The 17,822-nt window shown below is 49.5% G+C and overlaps 1 protein-coding gene across 13 annotated transcripts in view, besides 14 other annotated features; it reads right to left on the bottom strand.

Moving 5' to 3' along the window:
- Window positions 1–17,822, bottom strand: part of ATP11A (ATPase phospholipid transporting 11A) — a 197,131-nt gene that overhangs the window by 147,249 nt on the left and 32,060 nt on the right. The gene's annotated exons all lie outside the window — the stretch shown is intronic.
- Window positions 1,881–2,381: an enhancer, noted in NCBI's record as "H3K27ac hESC enhancer chr13:113391853-113392353 (GRCh37/hg19 assembly coordinates)". NCBI's record gives its function as "activates a minimal SCP1, AML or CMV promoter by ChIP-STARR-seq in primed H9 embryonic stem cells {active_cell/tissue: H9 hESC(primed)}" and the evidence as "EXISTENCE:reporter gene assay evidence [ECO:0000049][PMID:30033119]".
- Window positions 2,382–2,882: an enhancer, noted in NCBI's record as "H3K27ac hESC enhancer chr13:113391352-113391852 (GRCh37/hg19 assembly coordinates)". NCBI's record gives its function as "activates a minimal SCP1, AML or CMV promoter by ChIP-STARR-seq in primed H9 embryonic stem cells {active_cell/tissue: H9 hESC(primed)}" and the evidence as "EXISTENCE:reporter gene assay evidence [ECO:0000049][PMID:30033119]".
- Window positions 3,791–4,085: an enhancer, noted in NCBI's record as "tiled region #8271; HepG2 Activating non-DNase unmatched - State 19:H4K20, and K562 Activating non-DNase unmatched - State 19:H4K20". NCBI's record gives its function as "activates a minimal TATA promoter and a strong SV40 promoter by Sharpr-MPRA in HepG2 and K562 cells {active_cell/tissue: HepG2 | K562}" and the evidence as "EXISTENCE:reporter gene assay evidence [ECO:0000049][PMID:27701403]".
- Window positions 3,791–4,456: a biological region, named in NCBI's record as "Sharpr-MPRA regulatory region 8271".
- Window positions 3,956–4,456: an enhancer, noted in NCBI's record as "OCT4-H3K4me1 hESC enhancer chr13:113389778-113390278 (GRCh37/hg19 assembly coordinates)". NCBI's record gives its function as "activates a minimal SCP1, AML or CMV promoter by ChIP-STARR-seq in primed H9 embryonic stem cells {active_cell/tissue: H9 hESC(primed)}" and the evidence as "EXISTENCE:reporter gene assay evidence [ECO:0000049][PMID:30033119]".
- Window positions 4,590–5,322: an enhancer, noted in NCBI's record as "H3K27ac-H3K4me1 hESC enhancer chr13:113388912-113389644 (GRCh37/hg19 assembly coordinates)". NCBI's record gives its function as "activates a minimal SCP1, AML or CMV promoter by ChIP-STARR-seq in primed H9 embryonic stem cells {active_cell/tissue: H9 hESC(primed)}" and the evidence as "EXISTENCE:reporter gene assay evidence [ECO:0000049][PMID:30033119]".
- Window positions 5,323–6,056: an enhancer, noted in NCBI's record as "NANOG-H3K27ac-H3K4me1 hESC enhancer chr13:113388178-113388911 (GRCh37/hg19 assembly coordinates)". NCBI's record gives its function as "activates a minimal SCP1, AML or CMV promoter by ChIP-STARR-seq in naive H9 embryonic stem cells {active_cell/tissue: H9 hESC(naive)}" and the evidence as "EXISTENCE:reporter gene assay evidence [ECO:0000049][PMID:30033119]".
- Window positions 6,261–7,059: an enhancer, noted in NCBI's record as "OCT4-NANOG-H3K27ac-H3K4me1 hESC enhancer chr13:113387175-113387973 (GRCh37/hg19 assembly coordinates)". NCBI's record gives its function as "activates a minimal SCP1, AML or CMV promoter by ChIP-STARR-seq in naive H9 embryonic stem cells {active_cell/tissue: H9 hESC(naive)}" and the evidence as "EXISTENCE:reporter gene assay evidence [ECO:0000049][PMID:30033119]".
- Window positions 7,861–8,660: an enhancer, noted in NCBI's record as "H3K27ac-H3K4me1 hESC enhancer chr13:113385574-113386373 (GRCh37/hg19 assembly coordinates)". NCBI's record gives its function as "activates a minimal SCP1, AML or CMV promoter by ChIP-STARR-seq in primed H9 embryonic stem cells {active_cell/tissue: H9 hESC(primed)}" and the evidence as "EXISTENCE:reporter gene assay evidence [ECO:0000049][PMID:30033119]".
- Window positions 10,262–11,061: an enhancer, noted in NCBI's record as "H3K27ac-H3K4me1 hESC enhancer chr13:113383173-113383972 (GRCh37/hg19 assembly coordinates)". NCBI's record gives its function as "activates a minimal SCP1, AML or CMV promoter by ChIP-STARR-seq in naive H9 embryonic stem cells {active_cell/tissue: H9 hESC(naive)}" and the evidence as "EXISTENCE:reporter gene assay evidence [ECO:0000049][PMID:30033119]".
- Window positions 14,312–14,891: an enhancer, noted in NCBI's record as "H3K27ac-H3K4me1 hESC enhancer chr13:113379343-113379922 (GRCh37/hg19 assembly coordinates)". NCBI's record gives its function as "activates a minimal SCP1, AML or CMV promoter by ChIP-STARR-seq in primed H9 embryonic stem cells {active_cell/tissue: H9 hESC(primed)}" and the evidence as "EXISTENCE:reporter gene assay evidence [ECO:0000049][PMID:30033119]".
- Window positions 14,464–14,513: an enhancer, noted in NCBI's record as "active region_8032". NCBI's record gives its function as "activates an Ori minimal core promoter by ATAC-STARR-seq in GM12878 lymphoblastoid cells {active_cell/tissue: GM12878}" and the evidence as "EXISTENCE:reporter gene assay evidence [ECO:0000049][PMID:35858748]".
- Window positions 14,892–15,471: an enhancer, noted in NCBI's record as "H3K27ac-H3K4me1 hESC enhancer chr13:113378763-113379342 (GRCh37/hg19 assembly coordinates)". NCBI's record gives its function as "activates a minimal SCP1, AML or CMV promoter by ChIP-STARR-seq in primed H9 embryonic stem cells {active_cell/tissue: H9 hESC(primed)}" and the evidence as "EXISTENCE:reporter gene assay evidence [ECO:0000049][PMID:30033119]".
- Window positions 16,198–16,699: an enhancer, noted in NCBI's record as "H3K27ac hESC enhancer chr13:113377535-113378036 (GRCh37/hg19 assembly coordinates)". NCBI's record gives its function as "activates a minimal SCP1, AML or CMV promoter by ChIP-STARR-seq in naive H9 embryonic stem cells {active_cell/tissue: H9 hESC(naive)}" and the evidence as "EXISTENCE:reporter gene assay evidence [ECO:0000049][PMID:30033119]".

Genomic DNA, 17,822 nt, shown 5'->3' with positions numbered 1-17,822 from the left:
TCTGGACATGTCACATAAATAGAATCATACAACGTGTGGCCTTTTATTTCTAGCTTCCTTCACTTAGCATCATGCTTTCAAAGTTCATTCATGGTGTACATAAATCAGTACTTCGTTCCTTTTTGTGGCTGAATACTACTCCATTGTAAGGATAAATCACATTGTTTACCCATTCGTCTACTGATGGGCATCTGAGATGCTTCCGCTCTTTGGCTATGATGAATAATGCTGCCAAGAACACAAGAACATCTGTGTGAAAGTTTCCGTGTGGACGCGTGTTTTCAATGCTTTGAGGACATATTTAGGCGTGGAATTGCAGGGCATATTGGTAACTCTTCATATTCCTGTATTTCGAGGAATTGCCAAGTGTTTCCGAGCAGCTTCACCATTTTACATTCCAAACCAGCAATGCACAAGACTTCCAACTCCTCTACATCCTCCTTAACACCTCTTCATTGTCTGTCTTTTTTATTACAGCCCTCTTAGTGGGTATGAAGCATAAAGTTTTTATTTGCATTTCTCTAATGTAAATAAATGCAAATAATGTTGACCATCTTTTCATTCATTGGCTGGCCCTTTGTATTCCTCCTTGGTAAAACACCAATTAAAATCTTTTGCCCACGGTTAGATTAGAGCATCATTTTGTTATGAGTTGACAGAGTTCTTTGTGTCTTCTGGATGCAAATGCCTGACCAGAGCCACTCTCTGCCAATCTTCTCTCCCATTCTGTGGATTTTCTTTTCACTTTCGTAATGGTGTCCTTTGAGGAACAAAAGTCTTTAATTTTAATCTAGTCCAATTTATCTATCTTTTTCTTTGGTTGCTTATGCTTTTTATACCATATCTAAGAAAAGATCGCCTAATCCAAGGTCACCATGATTTGTCCCTGTGTTTTCTGCAGTCAACTCAATAAAGTAAGTCCTAAGTATCTGCAGTATACTTAGTCCTCTGCTAGGCTCCATGGAGTAGGTGAGACAGGTGAGACGCCACTTCCTACCCCAAGGAATCTGCTGTTTCACTAGGGGAAGAAGACATACAGCAGGCCCCAGAACTGCATGGGCCAACCTAGACTCACAGTGGGACACGAGAAGGGAGGCTCTGTAGGGGCGGGGCAGGAGAAACAGCCTCTATGGGAACAGTCATCCCACAGTGAGCAAAACAACACGGCTGACGGCTGGGACCTGGGGGAGGAGGAGGGGGACGGGGAGGCAGGTGGGTGGGGGCATACCGGCAGCAGAATAGGGTCAGAGGGGCTAGAACTGAGCCACATTGCCTTGGGCCAGCACAGAAAGCTCCTGCTTGGCAGATCCACCTGTCCCACAATGCTTAAAGGAGCTCTGCGCTGCATGAAGCCAGTCGGCTTATCTGCGGCACTGCTCTGGTGAGAAGAAACAAGCAAAATGTCCCCAGCTCACATTGCTTTTCCTATTTGCAGTAAATTATGGCAATAATCTCAGGTTCGTTCAATACTCTACGAGCAGAGGGGTAAATACTTTTCTGAGTCGCTAACACTTTAAGTTGGAGCTATTTCTTTTCTTTTCTTTTTGAGACGGTGTTTCACTCTTGTCGTCCAGGTTGGAGTGCCGTGGCGTGATCTCAATTCACTGCAACCTCTGCTTCCTGGGTGCAAGCAATTCTCCTGCCTCAGCCTCCCGAGTAGCTGGGATTACAGGCACCCACCAACACACCTGGCTAATTTTTGTATTTTTAGTAGAGACGGGGTTTCACCATGTTTGGCCAGGCTGGTCTCAAACTTCTGACCTCAAATGATCTGCCTGCCTCAGCCTCCCAAAGTGCTAGGATTATAGGCATAAGCCACTGTGCCCAGCCCAAGTTGGAGCTATTTCAACCCGAGGCAAAGAGCTTTGGGAAGCCGGCGCTGAACAGATATGGGAATGTTGAGTGCTTCTGACCATAGCTTGGGTTCAGAAAAAAGTAAAAGGGCTGAGGGAGAGGACCTGTGAACTCTTCAAGGGTCAATTCCAGGCTACAGAGGAGACTATGAATGGGCTTCCGGAAGCAGCATTTCCCTGCACCACGAAAAAGCAGAGAGGCCAGTTATGGAGGCACAGGACCAGGCTGACCGCTGTAGCACTGGCAGCAAACCTGTGTTTGTCAATCCAAGACACGGAGCTGCTTCCACCTGAGCTCACCACTGAGCCCACTGCAGTTATTCTCAATACAAACCAGAGTGACCATGTAACCTTACAGCCTGCTTGTTTTGTCCTCTTCTCAAAACCCTCCGAGGTTTCCATCCACTCAGATAAAAGGAGAAGGCAGACGAGGCCCTCGGTGACCTCCCTGTCTGATGGCTCCTCAGACACAGCCAAGCTGAGTCCTGTCTTGGGGCCTCTGCCCATGCTGTTCCTCAGCCCAGCCCCTTCCCTCCTCTCCTTCTGGTCTTTATGACCACGGCAGCTCAGCATAGCTGGCCCTTGCCAAACCGTCCCTGGAAGCCCATCCCTTCTGGAGGTTTCCCTGTAATATTTAACGCCACATGAGTCATGATCTGTTTTAACGAACATTTCACCGAAGGATAACTTGCTCACAAAGTGCCTAACCTGCCCTGGGTGTGCGGCTCAGCCTTCACCTGGGTAACCACTGTCATCAGGGCCAAGAAACACAGCATCACCAGCATCTGAGATGCCCCTGTTGTGACTGTGGACCCTCCCACCTGCCAAGGTCTCATCCACTTTGACCTCTGCCTCCATCCCCCAGGAGTGCCCAGCTTTGAACCTCACATCAATGAATCTTATAACATACTCTTCCTGTCTGGCTTCTTTTCCTTGTTTAGGCTGTCAAAAGTCACCCATGTTGTTTGTTCATTTTATTTAATGTGAACATTTCACGATTTATTTTTGTTTTTTTCTACTGTTGATAGACATGTGGGTTGTTTCCAGGAGCATATATTTACTGGAAACTGCCAAACAGTTTTCTGAAATGGTTTTGAATGCTCCCACCAGAGGCACATATGGGTTCCCACAGCTCCACAGCCTTCCAACGCTGCCCTGGATACAAATCCCTGACCAGACCTGCGCTCTGCCAATCCTCTCTCCCGTCCTGTGGATTTTCTTTTCAATTTCATAATGGCGTCCTTTGAAGCACAAAAGTTTTTAATTTAAATCTAGTTTAATTTTAATTTTAGTCTCAATGTAAGTTTAGTAATATATTTGTTTGTTGTCATCTCTGCCTAAAATGGACAGTGCATTAGATGCATGCCACTAGGGGACAGATTTCCAAAATGTACTCAATATAGAAAACCTGCACACTCAATTGTATTATAAATATAATTCTGGCATGCTGGAAACAACACACATTTTAATTTAACTGGGAGGAGAAAGATCAGGACTTCTCATCAGCAGCTCTCTTCTCTTTCACCTGCCTGGTGCTCCTGGCTGAACAGCATCAGTGGCTCAGGCCCCCTTATATTGTAGAACGTGAAGCACATGTAAGATAACGCTTCGTTGCTGAGATGCTACCGCAGGAGGAAAGCTCCAGGCCACCCCAGAAAACACAGTGATAACATCTTTTCCTATAAAGTTAGCTGATTTTTTGTGTGTGTTCCTATGTGTCAGACACTATTTAGCAGCTCTATATGGGTTTCTTATTGATCATCATGCAACTCCCATGAAGGTGCCATATAATCCCCGTTTTAGAGACAAGCAAACTGAAGCTAAGAAAAAATAGATAACGTGCCAAAGTTAAAACATGTGCTAAGTGATAGGGTCAAGTTCAAACAGTGTGGTTGGATCAGGGCTCGAGTTCTCACCCTCTGTCCATGCTACCCTCACAACCCGCATCCTGGCACCATGGTCCACACCTGTGCGCTCCTTAAGCAAGGTCAAAGGGACTCTGCACCTGCTCTGGGCACGCGAACACAAAGGCACGGGAGGAGGCCCTGCACCTGCTCTGAGCATGCGCATACGGAGGCTCTGCATAGGCTCTGGGCATGTGCAGACGGAGGTGCGGGAGGTGGCCCGGCAGCAGAGCATGCGCACACGGAGGCATGGAGGAGCACACGGACCATGGGACTTATGGATGCACCTCGGAAAAGTCAGGTGCTCCTTAGTGCTGAGCCCAACTTAGCGACTGCTGAAAGGTTTGGTGCGCTGCTTAACTTTACACTGAGAAATGTAAGCGATGTTAGGTGAATCACGCAATGGCTGGTGAGTTCAACTCTGTAATGCCTCTGTCAAGGTTCTGGAGCTATTTGAGGATGCACGGTGCAGGATTCTAAGCCCTGTGACCACTTAGCACTTCTTATCTGCGCGAGTGAAGGTTTCCTCTACACAATGCAACCAAAACAGAACCTGGAAATGAACAGATTGACTCCAGCAAGCATCACAACCTCTCGCTTCAGATTTTGTGTTCACTAAAGTCTTACTTTTTCACTGAATTCATACTAAGTAATGTTAAGACTTGGAATTTATAAATTTATACAAATAAAATGCTTTGAGAAGGAGTTCTGTTGACAAACCCGTAGAAATCACGGCTGTGGGTTCTGTAATTCCTGCCCTTGTGTGAGCTCAGGCAATTGGAAACAGCCTCCATCAGCCACGCGGAAGGCTATATCGCTGGGCTGCCATGCAATGCCCGGCTTTCGGGGCACTCAAAGAAATCAACTTTTTATTTAACGGAAAAAAACTCAATCTCAACATTCTTGAAACGTTAGCAAAACCCGTTTATGGTATTTAGATTTCCCAGTGTCCTTCTATAATTAATTCTCCCTTGAATGAAAAAGTTTATTTTCCCCAGTGTATCTATGGAGTGCCTTTTATTAGACCCAGATGGAGATTTCCTTTTTTACCTTCACTGCCAGAAAATGCACAGCTAAATCCATCCCAGACGTCTGCTAACATTTTTCTCAGCTTTTTTCTTTTTTTAAAAAAAGTCCTCTTTTATGTTGTGTTTAATTGTGTCAGCTACTTCAAATCCTTCCTGGAAGGGAGACTAGAAGCCCCAGTGGGCAGCCGTCTTCTCTGTCTCCTGGCACTCCCCCTCACCAGTCGGTATTCATGGTCCTACCGCTGACAAGGCCTGCTGGAAATGGGGGCGTGGGCAGAACCATGCTTACCTTTTGGGGTTGCTGCCTCAGGAGGAGGCACCTGCCACCCCACCAGGCACCATAGTGATCCCCCCCAAGTGCGGCTATGAGGGCAGGTGAGCCAAGTACAGGGTATAGGATAGTTTTGTGGTGTCGAGAAAAACAGTATCACTGAAAAAGAGAAATATTCATATTGCTATCCACTTTGAAAACCACTAATTTATGAAAAGTACAGGAGTGTGAAAGCATTGGGTCACATTTTCGAAGTCTGCATTTGTCACTGATATTTATTTTTTGAGTCCGATACAGTCAGGGTTTGACTCTCCGGGCAGCCTGCAGTTCCTCGGCGGTTGATGGCTGAGGTCACTGACAGGCACTAGAAACCCAATTTCTGCCCAGACTCACTTTTCCAGTTTGCAAATTAGAAATAAAGACAAGAAATTTCACTCCTGTCTTAAACTTTGGGTTACTAAAATTCCATGAAGACCAACCTCTTTCAGCCCAATATTATTGTGCTTGCAACGGTTTCTTAACCAAGTTGCAGGAAAGGCCCTTTTCTCAAGTATTTCAAGGTTCTTTCCCTGCCCCTCACCCCCGCCCCCTGCACCTGCCTCATCCCAGCACCAATTAAAAGCCAAGCAGGGGAACAGCTGAGCTCGCATGTCCATCCTGCTGGGAGGCCACGTCCAGAGGGCTTAGTTTCTCAAACAAAACCTCATTATCAGCTGGAAGCAGCACAGTTAGTGAAGCCCAGGAGCACTCACTCTCCTGGTGGCTCACTGTCTACTGTGCCATTTTAGCTCATTAACCCGGATGAAATCATTTTCTCGATAACTAAGTAACACAAAAGCCTGGTGTAATGGTATTAATAGAAACTCAATGAGTATTTGTTTGACAAATGACCGATCAGTGAAACATAGAACTGCTAATTTAAGATTGGAAAGAAAAGGAAAGAGAGAACCACTGCTAAATAATCCAAGCAGCTCTGAAGATAAGAATCACAGAATTGAGTCAGAAAAATGAGATTTGGCTGTCCACTGACTTGGACAATGTCAGCAAGGAATTTCTGGAGCTCTTAGACAAAACAGAAACCAAAATATATAAATATAGGATAAACTTAATATATTTTAAATATATTATTTTTCCCCTAAAGTTGTATTTGCATAGACTAATGCATTTTATAAGGAAAGGAAAAAACATTCTGTGCAATACTCCTTCACTTGTGATCCACACTTGTGAGTTTAATGTGATAATGTGGGCCTACCTCGAAGGTTCTGGATTTAACAAACCATTTAACCTGTTAGCTTTTCAGCAGAAAGCCAGTCAACAATAGAACTAGGCTCAACAGCTCAACTCTTAACCATCAAGACATGAAATACAAATGAAAATATGTCAAAGGTGTTTTAAATTGTTAATATCCAGTGTTAGTAAAAACAGTGAAACTTAACACCTGAGGCTTTCACATTCCTGCCTAGAATCTCTGCATCAAACAAGCTCTACAGTCCTATCCATCCTGTCCCCACTGCGGATCCTGCATCTGCACAGCAGGATCCTGTGAGTGCCCTGCATGCTCAGTGCGCCTGAATCCTCCACCCACTGCTCATCTTTAAGTAAAGTGGAGATGCTGTGCCCCGCGCCGTGTGCCCCCAAGCCATATTCAGCTTCCCCTCTCTGCTTTTGTGGGGAAGCGCATGGACAAGGAGAAAAACAGATGCCTTGTTAAATATTAATAGTGTTTGCCTGTATAATTAGTTCTTTAAGAAATGTATCATTGTGCTTCTAATGCCCAATTTAACAATGAAATGTATTTTTAGAACAAAAACATGTACAGAAATCTTTATATAAATAACTTGTAAACCTGTGTCTATTGCTCCAACTCTAAAATAGAAGGGTTTTAATCAAAACTGTAATTCAACACCTGCCACCTAAATAAAACATAAGCACTAATTAAACTAGAGGCAGAGGCCAGGTGCAGTGACTCACACCTGTAATCACAGCACCTTGGGAGGCCGAGGCAGGTGAATCACCTGAGGTCGGGAGTTCAAGACCAGCCTGGCCAACATGGCGAAACCCCATCTCGACAAAAAAATATAAAAACTAGCCAGGCATGGTGGCGTGCGCCTGCAGTCCCAGATACTCGGGAGGATGAGGCGTAAGAATCGCTTGAACCTGGGAGGGGGAGGTTGCAGTGAGCCGAGATCGCACCACTCCACTCCGGCCTGGGCAACAAAGCGAGACTCTGTCTCAAAATAAATAAACAAACAAACAAACTAGAGGCAGATATGGTCATAAAATAAATTTGTAAGTGCTTTTATTTTTATTCTCAAGTTTAACCACAAAGGCCAGAAGAGAAAATGCAGAGAGATGCAGCTGGAGAGAGATGGAGCTGGAGAGAGATGGAGCTGGAGAGAGACAGAGCTGGAGAGAGAGAGATGGAGAGAGACACAGCTGGAGAGAGAGGGAAGCAGGGAGTAGGAAAGAAGAGGATGGGGAGAGAGAGACTCACTGGCCCAGGACCTCTAATCACCCACTACAACACATTATTTCTTTTAGTTTTTGTATATATTCTTACATTTTTATGCCAAGTTTTCATTCTATTCTACAGTAAGTTAGACTTTGTTTTAACTTAGAAACGTTTAAAGTTGCCCACCTGAGTGCAATGGAGGAACCAGAAGGTGGTCTGTGGCTCCTCCGACTCCAGACCGTCACGGGCCCTGAATGGAGGAGCTGCTTGGGACGCAGTTATTGCCACGTCCCTAAAACTCCCAACCAACTTCCCGACAGGACCGAACTCATGCCGGAGCCTTTTACTCACTGCACAACACCGTAGGTGCAGGTATGCACAGGATGCCGCTGCGGGCCACTGTCTCACCTGGGGAGGCCAGTGCCCGCACGCTATGCCTTCCCACACCGGAACATGGGCCACCTGCCCCCCCCCGCCCCCATTTCTCCACCATCTAGTAGGTTTACCCCACACACTGCTGGGACTGCCACTGTCCCATGCACCCCTCAGGCCACTGCTCCCTTCCTCACGTGCACTTCTGCACCTGCTCCTAGAGGCTTGTAGGGCAAGATGGGATATTTTTTGAAGGATAGGATGTGATATGTTCGTAGCATAGGTTGTTGTAAGTCTCACAGGATAAGATGTGATGGATCTCATAGGATAGGACGTGACAGGCCTCGTGGGACAGCCATGAACATAAGTGACACCTACTGTCTCCTCCCGCACCTTCCTTGGGGACAGCAGTACCTGCTGGGCCATCGATAGGCAATGAGTTGATTCACATCCAGTTCCCACTCTTGAATTTTCACTTACATCGTCACACTTAAAACTTTACTCATAAATAAAACAGAAAACTAGTGAGTGCCGTGCAATTGATTATCAACTACAGAACCTCAGCTGGCTGGAATGAGACTTGGGCTGTGGACTCCTGGCTGGGAATGGAGTGGGAATGAAGTGTGTGGCGCAGTCATCAAGGGAGTTCTGATACTTAGTTTCTATTTCTGCTTAGATGGCATTTCTGTTTTCTTTAGTAATAAAGCTAATCTGTTTTCTTTAGTAATAAAGCTAACCCTTCCTGTTTTATCTAAGAAAGACTGTATAGGAGGCCGGACACAGTAGCTCATGCCTGTAATCCCAGCACTTTGGGAGGCTAAGGCAGGCGGATCACTGGAGCATTTTGGAGGCTGAGGAGGGTGGATCACTGGAGGTCAGGAGTTCCAGACCAGCCTGGCCAACATGGTGAAACCCTGTCTCTACTACAAATACAAAAATTATCTGGGCGTGGTGTGGGCACCTGTAATCCCAGCTACTCAGGAGGCTGAGGCAGGAGAATCACTTGAGCCCAGGAGGCAGAGGTTCAAATGAGCAGAGATCGCGCCACAGCACTCCAGCCTGGGTAACTTAGCAAGACTCCGTCTCAAAAAATAAATAAATAAATAGACTGTCTACGGAAAGAACACCTGTCCCATGAGAAAGTGCTGCCCGAAGACACACTTCCTCCCACCCTGCCACCGACCTGCTGCCGTCACAGCGGCATCTAATTCCGAAAATCCTCCCTGCTCTGCAGCACGACTTGATTCATTCAGGCCTCCTGGGGGCAGTTTTCTACCCTTTCCCCCCAAATATCTGAAAGCCTAAAAACCTCACCTTTTAAGGTTCATTTACAAATATATGATCTGCCATGGTAGGCTCATGTGATGGACCCAGCAGTGTGTCCAGAAGGGCGCAATTTCACCAGGAGGCCCTGCGCAGACTCCGCACGGGAGCCCCATCCTCCCGCACCTGCGCAGGCACCCGGTGCTCACGCTGTGGAGTTTCCTGGGAAGCGGCTGTGTGTCCCATGCCTAGCACCGTGTTACTAGAGAACAGGGATGTGTCAGGAGTTATTCACGCATCAGCAGGGGAGTTCATCACATCACACGCCAGCCACGAGGTTCCAGATTACAAAACTGCTGTGGGCTCAGCTGGCTCTTTGAGAACAAACTGTTCCATGCCAGGAATTTGCCAGCCTCACCTTCCCTCATCAATGCCCGTCCTCCGGCCTCCATGAGGCTTCACAGATCCACATGAATCACAGATCCACACAAATAAAGATAACAGCATCGCCTCCGGTACAGAAGCTCTGCGGCTGCCCATGTCCTGGCAGATTGGACTCCTCCGAGGTCGCCCTTGCCATGTGACTGCAGGATGCCCCCTTCCAGGTCACCAGCCCCACGGCTCCCATGTGGTCCGTGGTCTATGTGGGCCGCTGCGAAGGGTTCCCACGGGCTCTTTTATTTCCCATGAAGAAACTCGTCCTCCACCATCATGAGAAGCTGCACTTAGCATGGACACAGAGATGAGACTCTGCACCCTTCCAGCTCCCAAATCTGTAACTAAAAATTATGCTGCCCATTTTCCTAAGTTCAAGCTTTGGCTATTGAAGAAGTAAGTACTACTGTTACATCTAAGCCCTGGCCAAACCATTGTCAGGAGCCATTTAAAAGTAACAACCATTCCCCGTTTGCTTCAATCAGATTAATCACTGACAACATTAACAGTTTGCGCGTTTTTTTCCTCGAAGAGTTCCCGCAAGCTGAGGGGCCAGCATCACAACTTCTGAAGCCTCCGTGAGATTCAGCGGCCTGCTGGCCTCACCGTGGCCTGACTCTATCAGCTAAAGATAGCAGGACGCTAAAAATAGCAGGAGCGCTGCGGCAGTGCCTTCTGACGCTGTTCACACTCAGACGTGTTACATGCTCCAGGTCCGCAATGCCGAGGTGGGGGGACTGTGCTGCCTCAGTGCCTTCCAACATTGTTCACACTCGGATGAGTAAGACACTCCGGGCCTGCAATGCCAAGGTGGGGACTGCGCTGCCTCAGTGCCTTCCGACACTGTTCACACGCAGACGCGTTAGATACTCTGGGCCTGCAATGCCGAGGTGGGAACCGCGCTGCCTCAGTGCCTTCTGACACTGTTCGCACTCGGACGCGTTAGATACTCTGGGCCCGCAATGCTAAGGCGAGGGGACTGTGCTGCCTCAGTGGGCAGAGTCGGATAAACCCATGGAAACAGCAGGGGTGGGAAAGCAAACGTAGTAAAGAGTGATAAAAACAACATCCAATCGTTAACGAGGTGGCCTGTCATAAGGTCAGGCTCAATCATAAATGAGCTGACCGCCAACCAGACGTGTGGAGAGTCCTGCGTCCAGGAGCACCCGGGATGATACGCTAACAGAAATGTCTTCCAATTCTAAATTTTCACTCAGGTTCACCGATTTTGTCACTCAGATTCTTAAGACGTCAGGATCCTTTCCTGGACTCTCAACAGAGAACAAAGCCTTTGCTTTAAATGTGTTAAAAAACTAACCATCCTAAATGTCGCCAACGTGAAAACCTGCTTTAGTCAAGCCTCTGATCACTGCATTTGCTTGTCACATGCACCAGGGCCACGGTGGAGTTTGCAGTGGGCCACCCCCAGGAGGGAAGCCGCTAGCAGAGGTCAGCAGCCACTGTGTATTCTTCTCTTAGCTTTGAATTTTGAACTGTTTGTATATCCATTCCATAAATCCAATCAGTCCATAACTATATCAAGATAGACAAGGAGAAGAGGAACAGCAGAGGTAAGCGATCACAGAATATTTGTAGTTAAAGGTCCATGAATACTAATAAGGCGGTACATGCAGGTAACACAGGGAGGCGGGCCGCAGTCTCACGGCCCCTCCACGCGTGGATACTGACAAAGCGGTACATACAGGTAACACAGGGAGGCGGGCCGCACGGTCTCACGGCCCCCCCACGAGTGGATAGTGACAACGCGGTACATACAGGTAACACAGGGAGGCGGGCCACACAGTCTCACGGCCCCCTCCACGCGTGGATACTGATAACGCGGTACATACAGGTAACACAGGGAAGCGGGCTGCACGGTCTCACGGCCCCTCCACGTGTGGATACTGACAACGTGGTACATACAGGTAACACAGGGAGCCGGGCCGCACAGTCTCATGGCCCCTCCACACGTGGACACTGACAACGTGGTACATACAGGTAACACAGGGAGGCGGGCCGCAGTCTCATGGCCCATCCACGCGTGGATACTGACAACGTGGTACATACAGGTAACACAGGGAGGTGGGCCGCATGGTCTCATGGCCCCTCCATGTTGGGTCCACCAGTCCAGTTATCTGGGTAAAGGTCAGTGACTGGCTTTGTAAATTAAGCTAACTGGCACCAGCCACACTCACTCATTCCATTTTCTCTGTGGCCTTTTTCCTGCTACAATGGCAGATGTGAGCAGGTGCACAGACCTCAAGGCCCCATAAGCCTACAACATTCACTATCTGCCCTTTTCAGAAAAAGGTTGCCAGTCCCTGGTCTATGAAAAAGGGGTGTTTTTCCCCTGCTCACCAGACACGGCCCTTGCTGGAACCCTACATGTATCGATCTCTCATTCACTCTGAGTTCTGAGTTACACGGAGAATTCGATTCCGCAACGCATGTGAGAAATGGGGCTCAGCCTTTAACAAGATGCACCTGGAGCCGAGTTCCTCGCCCAGCGCCGGAGTCCCCGAGCTGCGTGGCAGGCTGCACGAAGCCAGAGTTTAGCTCCAGAAACAGATGAAAGCCGATCTGCATTTCAATCTGGTGTCAGGTGAATTTCCCAGGCAGCCACCAGCCCTCAAGAAAACGGGCAGGGACTACCTCTGCCTGCCAAATGGGGCCTGTGCGGGCCCTGCATGGTGTGTGGAGCCTCTACACCTCAGGCAGCCTGGTTCCTTCACGTGCAAAGAACAAAAGCAGTGTTCTCTAGAGTCACCTGTGGCATTTATCTTTTTTTTTTTTGGAAAGAGACTGCTGCTGCTCCCATTAGATTTTAAATTCCTACCAGGAAAAGACCAATTCTTATTTCTGTTGTTTGCTTTGTTTCCTGTGTTCCCAGAACCTGCCTATAGCAGATTCTCAGTAATTGCTGGTTGAATAAAGTAAATAAATATAGTAAACTTGCTAAAAATAGAGCAGCAAGTTATCACTAGAAACAGCGTTCAGTAGGGCACAGTGGCTCACGCCTCTAATCCCAGCACTTTGGGAGGCCAAGGCGGGCAGATCACCTGAGGTCAGGAGTTTGAGACCAGCCTGGCCAACATGGTGAAACCCCATCTCTACTAAAAATACAAAATTAGCCAGGCATGGTGGCACATGCCTGTAATCCCAGCTACTTGGGAGACTGAGGCAGAAGAATCGCTTGACCCTGGGAGGCGGAGATTGCAGTGAGCCCAGATTGTGCTGCTGCACTCCAGCCTGGGCGACAGAGCAACAATCTGTCTCAAGAAAAAAAAAGAAGCAGCAGCAGCAGCGTTCAGATTTACTATTACCTACAACCCCAAGTTATAGTAAGAAATTCGCATAAGCTATGCAAGAATTGTAAAGCTGTATATGAGAAAAAAAATTTGCAATGTCCCCAGTTTTCTGTGAGATTTTTCCCTATTATCCATGTCCCAAGGAAGATGTCTTTACAATTATTTATTCAGAGGACCTACAGTAGCATTAGGTGGTGCATTTTTTATTCTGCTTGTACCTTTCTCATGGCACACTTTCAGCTTCAAGTTTACAGGTTAAGGCACTGTATCCAATAATTTTATAACACTCTTCACCACTAATTTTCTGCTCCTGTGAGCCCTTCAAATTGCAAAAGCAATGGACTTTTTTTTCCAGTTTGCAAAGCCAGGCATTTGATTGGCTCTGTTTTCTGTCCCCCAGCATCTGCAGCACCCCCGGCTGGAGCATTAGAGAGGACATGGCAGCAGCACAGATGGAGAAGGTCAGGAGCTGCCATCCAGACGGCCCCTTTGGGCTCCTTCACCTCATTCACCTGCAGATCTGGGAATCTGCCGGGAAAAGCTCTCGGAAGTACAACTGCCTTTAGGCCTGTCCCCCAGCACCTATCAACTGCCCCCGGCCATTCTCCCTGCACACAGATGGTGCCCCATGGCCCCTCTCCCTGCATGCAGACTGTGTTTCCCCACAGCCCCTCTCCCTGCACGCATGCAGTGCCCCCCAGGCCTTCTCTTTGCATGCACGCTGTGCCCCCAGCCCCTCTCCCTGCACACAGACTGTGCCCTCTGGCCCCTCTCCCTGCACGCACGTGCTTCCTCCCTGGCTCCTCTCCCTGCACGCATGCAGTGCCCCCTGGGCCTTCTCTTTGCATGCACACTGTGCCCCCTGGCCCCTCTCCCTGCACGCACGCCGTGCCCCATCCCCGGCATACACCTCCTGGTGACACACACTATTCCCTTCAGAGAAGCCTCCTCTTTTCAAGGACCGATTGTGACTCCCTAGACACCAGCTGCGTTTACAGAAGCAGAGTCGGTGAAAACTAAAAGCACAAAGCTTGCTTGGCACAGAGGTGCGGTGAGCAGGCCCCAGGGCCACCGCTTCCCGCCCCCTCCCCAGCACCTTGCTCTGAGGGCGTCCTTCAGGGGCACCCTCGTCACCTCAGCTGCCGGGGAGGGGCTCCTGAGTCTCTCTCAGCCTCCTTCACCCATTTCTATCGTTCTCACCTGCACGCAGGGATCTGTTCCAAACCTCAGCTTCCTGTAACCAACAGGCCACCCTCAGGGACGTTGTCCTTAGTCATCCTCCACAAATAGAAGCTTCTCCTGTCCAAGGAACTCCAGGGATGGGGACTTTGCAGCCACAGCTGTAGCCACACACTCACTGGCTGGGGCATGGGAGGGCTGGTGCATCTGTTCTGCTTACATCTGAGCTATTTCATTACTACACACGAGAAAAGCTTCCCACACTTGGTCGTTAGAGGCATTAAGCACATAGAGCACACACTTGTGCCAGTCACTCCTGGGCACCTAGGCAGAGCCAGCCGCGTGCAGACGCAGCCTATCACTCCAGACTGGTGTGGGGAGGGGTGAGTGAAGGCAGCGGCTGAGAAACCCAGGTGGCAGGGGCCAGGCGATGGGGGCGAAGGAGGCTGGTGCATGCCCGGGCAGTGGGCTGGTGAGGGCTGAGAGCAGAGAGAGTGGAGGGGGTGATGCCTCTGCCCATACCTCGTCTGCTCCCCAGGGGTCTTCTTTTGGTCACTCTGCTCCCAAAGCATTTGGGATTCACCTTGGCCATGGGAGGTCCACATCGTATCATGATCACAGGTTTACCTGTCTGTCCCCACCCCACTGCCTTGAGCCCAGCCCGAGCCTGAGTCAGCTCCCACAAGGGGGGTTTGCAGTGTCTCTTGTGACTCAGAACAGGGTTGACAGAGGGATGGAGTTCAAGTCTTCCCCCAGGTATGCATGGCCGGCAACCTACGGCAAGAGGCGTCGGCCATCAGCTGTTGGTCCCACACCGGGCCCACAGACAATCCACCCCAAGGGAGAAGAAAATGACGTGGGGACCAGGTCCAAGGCCACAGCCCAGCCCACACAGGGGACCACAGGCATGGCCGCAGGGGTGGCTGGAGCAGAGGAAGGCAGATCACCTTTGGAAACAGAAACACTTGGGTCAGACCCTGGCTCCGTGGTGGAATGAGGAACACACCTGGCCTCTGTTCCGGTGCCCAGCATGCTTCAGGACCCTTGGAATTTCCCACATGGCAGGAGTGTTTCTGTTGCTCACCAAGAGCCCCTGTGGACCACACCTGAGTTTATGCTAATGAGGAGACTCAAGATGGGCCCCAAACAGCTTCCTGGGGGGGGGCCGGCCTCACCCCAGGACAGGGCTGCAGCTTCCATCCCCAGCCTGACCTCTGACCTGTGGGGAGAAGGGAGACACTGGAGACTGAACTCAATCTCTTGGCCAATAGTGTGATGAGACCCCCAAGCAGTGATGAGACTCTGATGAAACTCTGGATGCACGAATCCTGGCTGCCGCACATACACGGTTCTGGAGGAGGGCCACGTGACAGCTCCACGGGGACAGGGGGCTCCCAGTGGACCCATCACATTGCTCCCACCATCATAAGCCCCTTGTCTTCAGCACAGTGACCTCCTGAGTTCCGCGAGTCCTTCCAGTAAATCGTCAACCCTGAGTCACAGGGCCCTCCCTGACGTTTATGGCAGGTGCTCAGAAGTGTAGGTGGTCCCTGAGACTTGTAGCTGTGTCTGAAGCAGGCCGTCTTGGGGGACAGAGCCCATAACCTGTGGGGTCCACTTGAACTCAGGGCATGCAGTGTCGGAATGGGGCGATGGTGCCGATGGGGGCGAAGAGGGCGATGGGGGAGAAGGGGGCAATAGGGGCAAAGGGGGTGAAGGGGGCGATGGGGGAGAAGGGGGCGAAGGGGGCGATGGGGACGATAGGGGCTGGTCCACACCCAGGCAGTGGGCGCTGGTGAGAGGTGTGGGCAGGGATGATGGAGGGGGCGATGCTCATCTTCTTTATTTAAAAGTTGAGATCAACTGCGCCACACGACAGGCTTGTATGTACATTAAGTGGTATGTCCCCGCACATGCCACCCGAGCCCGTGTGACACGAGCGTTCCCGGGAATCCACAGGCCCTGAGGGCCTCCGGGTTTCGGGCGAGACAGAGGACCAGATATGCACACTTTGGGAGCATCCAGGCATTTGGCTTCATCAAATAACCTTCAGTCAGCTGCCTAGACATTCAACTTGCAAACTAAAAATAAAATCCTAAGCCCCTTCCGACTGAATGGATCCCTTCTTGGTCAAGGGAACCCCAGAAAAATCTTAAAAACTGAGCTCCCAGCCATGACAGAGGTTACACATACCTCCTTCTACCCCCTCCCTTTTGGGGTTTAGACACAACTGACCAGCATTAACATCAATACAGAGATCATAAAACAAACAGAATACACTCTGGCCAGGCACGGTGGCTCACGCCTGTAATCCCAGCACTTGGGGAGGACAAGGCAGGCGGATCACCTGAGGTTAGGAGTTTGAGACCAGCCTGGCCGACATTGTGAAACCCCGTCTCTACTAAAAGTACAAAAGTTAGTCAGGTGTGGTGGTGTGTGCCTGTAATCCCAGCTACTCAAGAGGCTGAAGCAGGAGAATAGCCTGAACCCGGCAGGCGGAGGGTGCAGTGAGCCGAGATCGCGCCACTGCACAACAGCCTGAATGACAAGAGGGCGGGGGGAGGTGGGGAACTCTGTGGCAATAAGACACCAATAAGACATCATCTGCGTGATAAAGCCCTGGTCTCCACAACCTCTTTACCTCAACCCACGCTCACAGGATCGAAGAAAAAAAACCAGACTCTGTGGCACTAAGATGCCAAATTATAAACAGGGCCCAGTGCCATTACAGATGAGGGTTAAGTCCCGCCTGCGGGCGTCAGACCTGCTAAACAGGGCTCTTTGACCCTGTGGCTGACTCTGACAGGGCCTCCTTATCTTAAACATTCCTTTCTGTTGACTCCAAGTTTTAGATAGAACCTTACTCCTTTAATCAACTGCAAATTAAAGAATCTCTGAAAAAAAATACTTAAAAAGAAAAAAGTAAAGCATTTCTGAATCCGCCTACTTTACTTCAAGTCATCCTGCCTTTCCGGCTGAGCCACGTCGACCTTCCACTCATTGATTTACGTCTTTCCTATGACTCCTGCCTCCCTGAAATGTGTAACATCCAACCAGCCCCACCACCTTGGACCACTTCCTCGATGGTTCTCAGGTTTGTGTTTTTCCAAGCCACGGCCACTCATATTGTCTCAGAATAAATCTTTCTAAAGTATTTTACGTATGTAAACCAAAAGTAAATTTGAAGGGCCCTCACCCATCTGAATGGAGCCCTCCTCTCCGCCAAGGGCACTCCAAAGTTATCCTGAAAACCTGCTTCCGGCCCTGATGGGACTCGGATGCCTCCTCACCCCCTCCTTCCTTTTGGAATTCAGGAAAGGCTGACCAGCACAAACGCTGGCACAGACCTGAAGTCCACTGAGAAACATTTACAATCTATTCATTCTCCCTGAAACTCGCTACCCTGATAAAGCCCTGTCTCCACAACCTCTTTACCCCAACCCAGACATTCCTTTCTACTGATAAGTCTTTCAACCAACTGTCCATTAGAAAAAATTTAAATCTACCTATAACCTGGAAACCCTCTCCCCTGGCCGCCCCCCTCTCCCCGGGCCCACCCTCCTCCCCGGTCCCCCTACCCCCCGCCGGCCCACTTACAGCTGTCCTGCATTTCTGGGCAAAACCATTGTACAATGATTGATGTCTCATGTCTCCCTAAAATGTATAAAACCAAGCTGTGCCCCGACCACTTTGGCACCTGTTCTTAGGACCTCCTGAGGACTGTGTGACAGGCCATGGTCACTCATATTTGGCTCAG

Source organism: Homo sapiens, chromosome 13 (genome assembly GCF_000001405.40).
Source record: "Homo sapiens chromosome 13, GRCh38.p14 Primary Assembly".
Taxonomy (NCBI): domain Eukaryota; kingdom Metazoa; phylum Chordata; class Mammalia; order Primates; family Hominidae; genus Homo; species Homo sapiens.
This window is presented reverse-complemented; position numbering and strand designations above follow the sequence as displayed.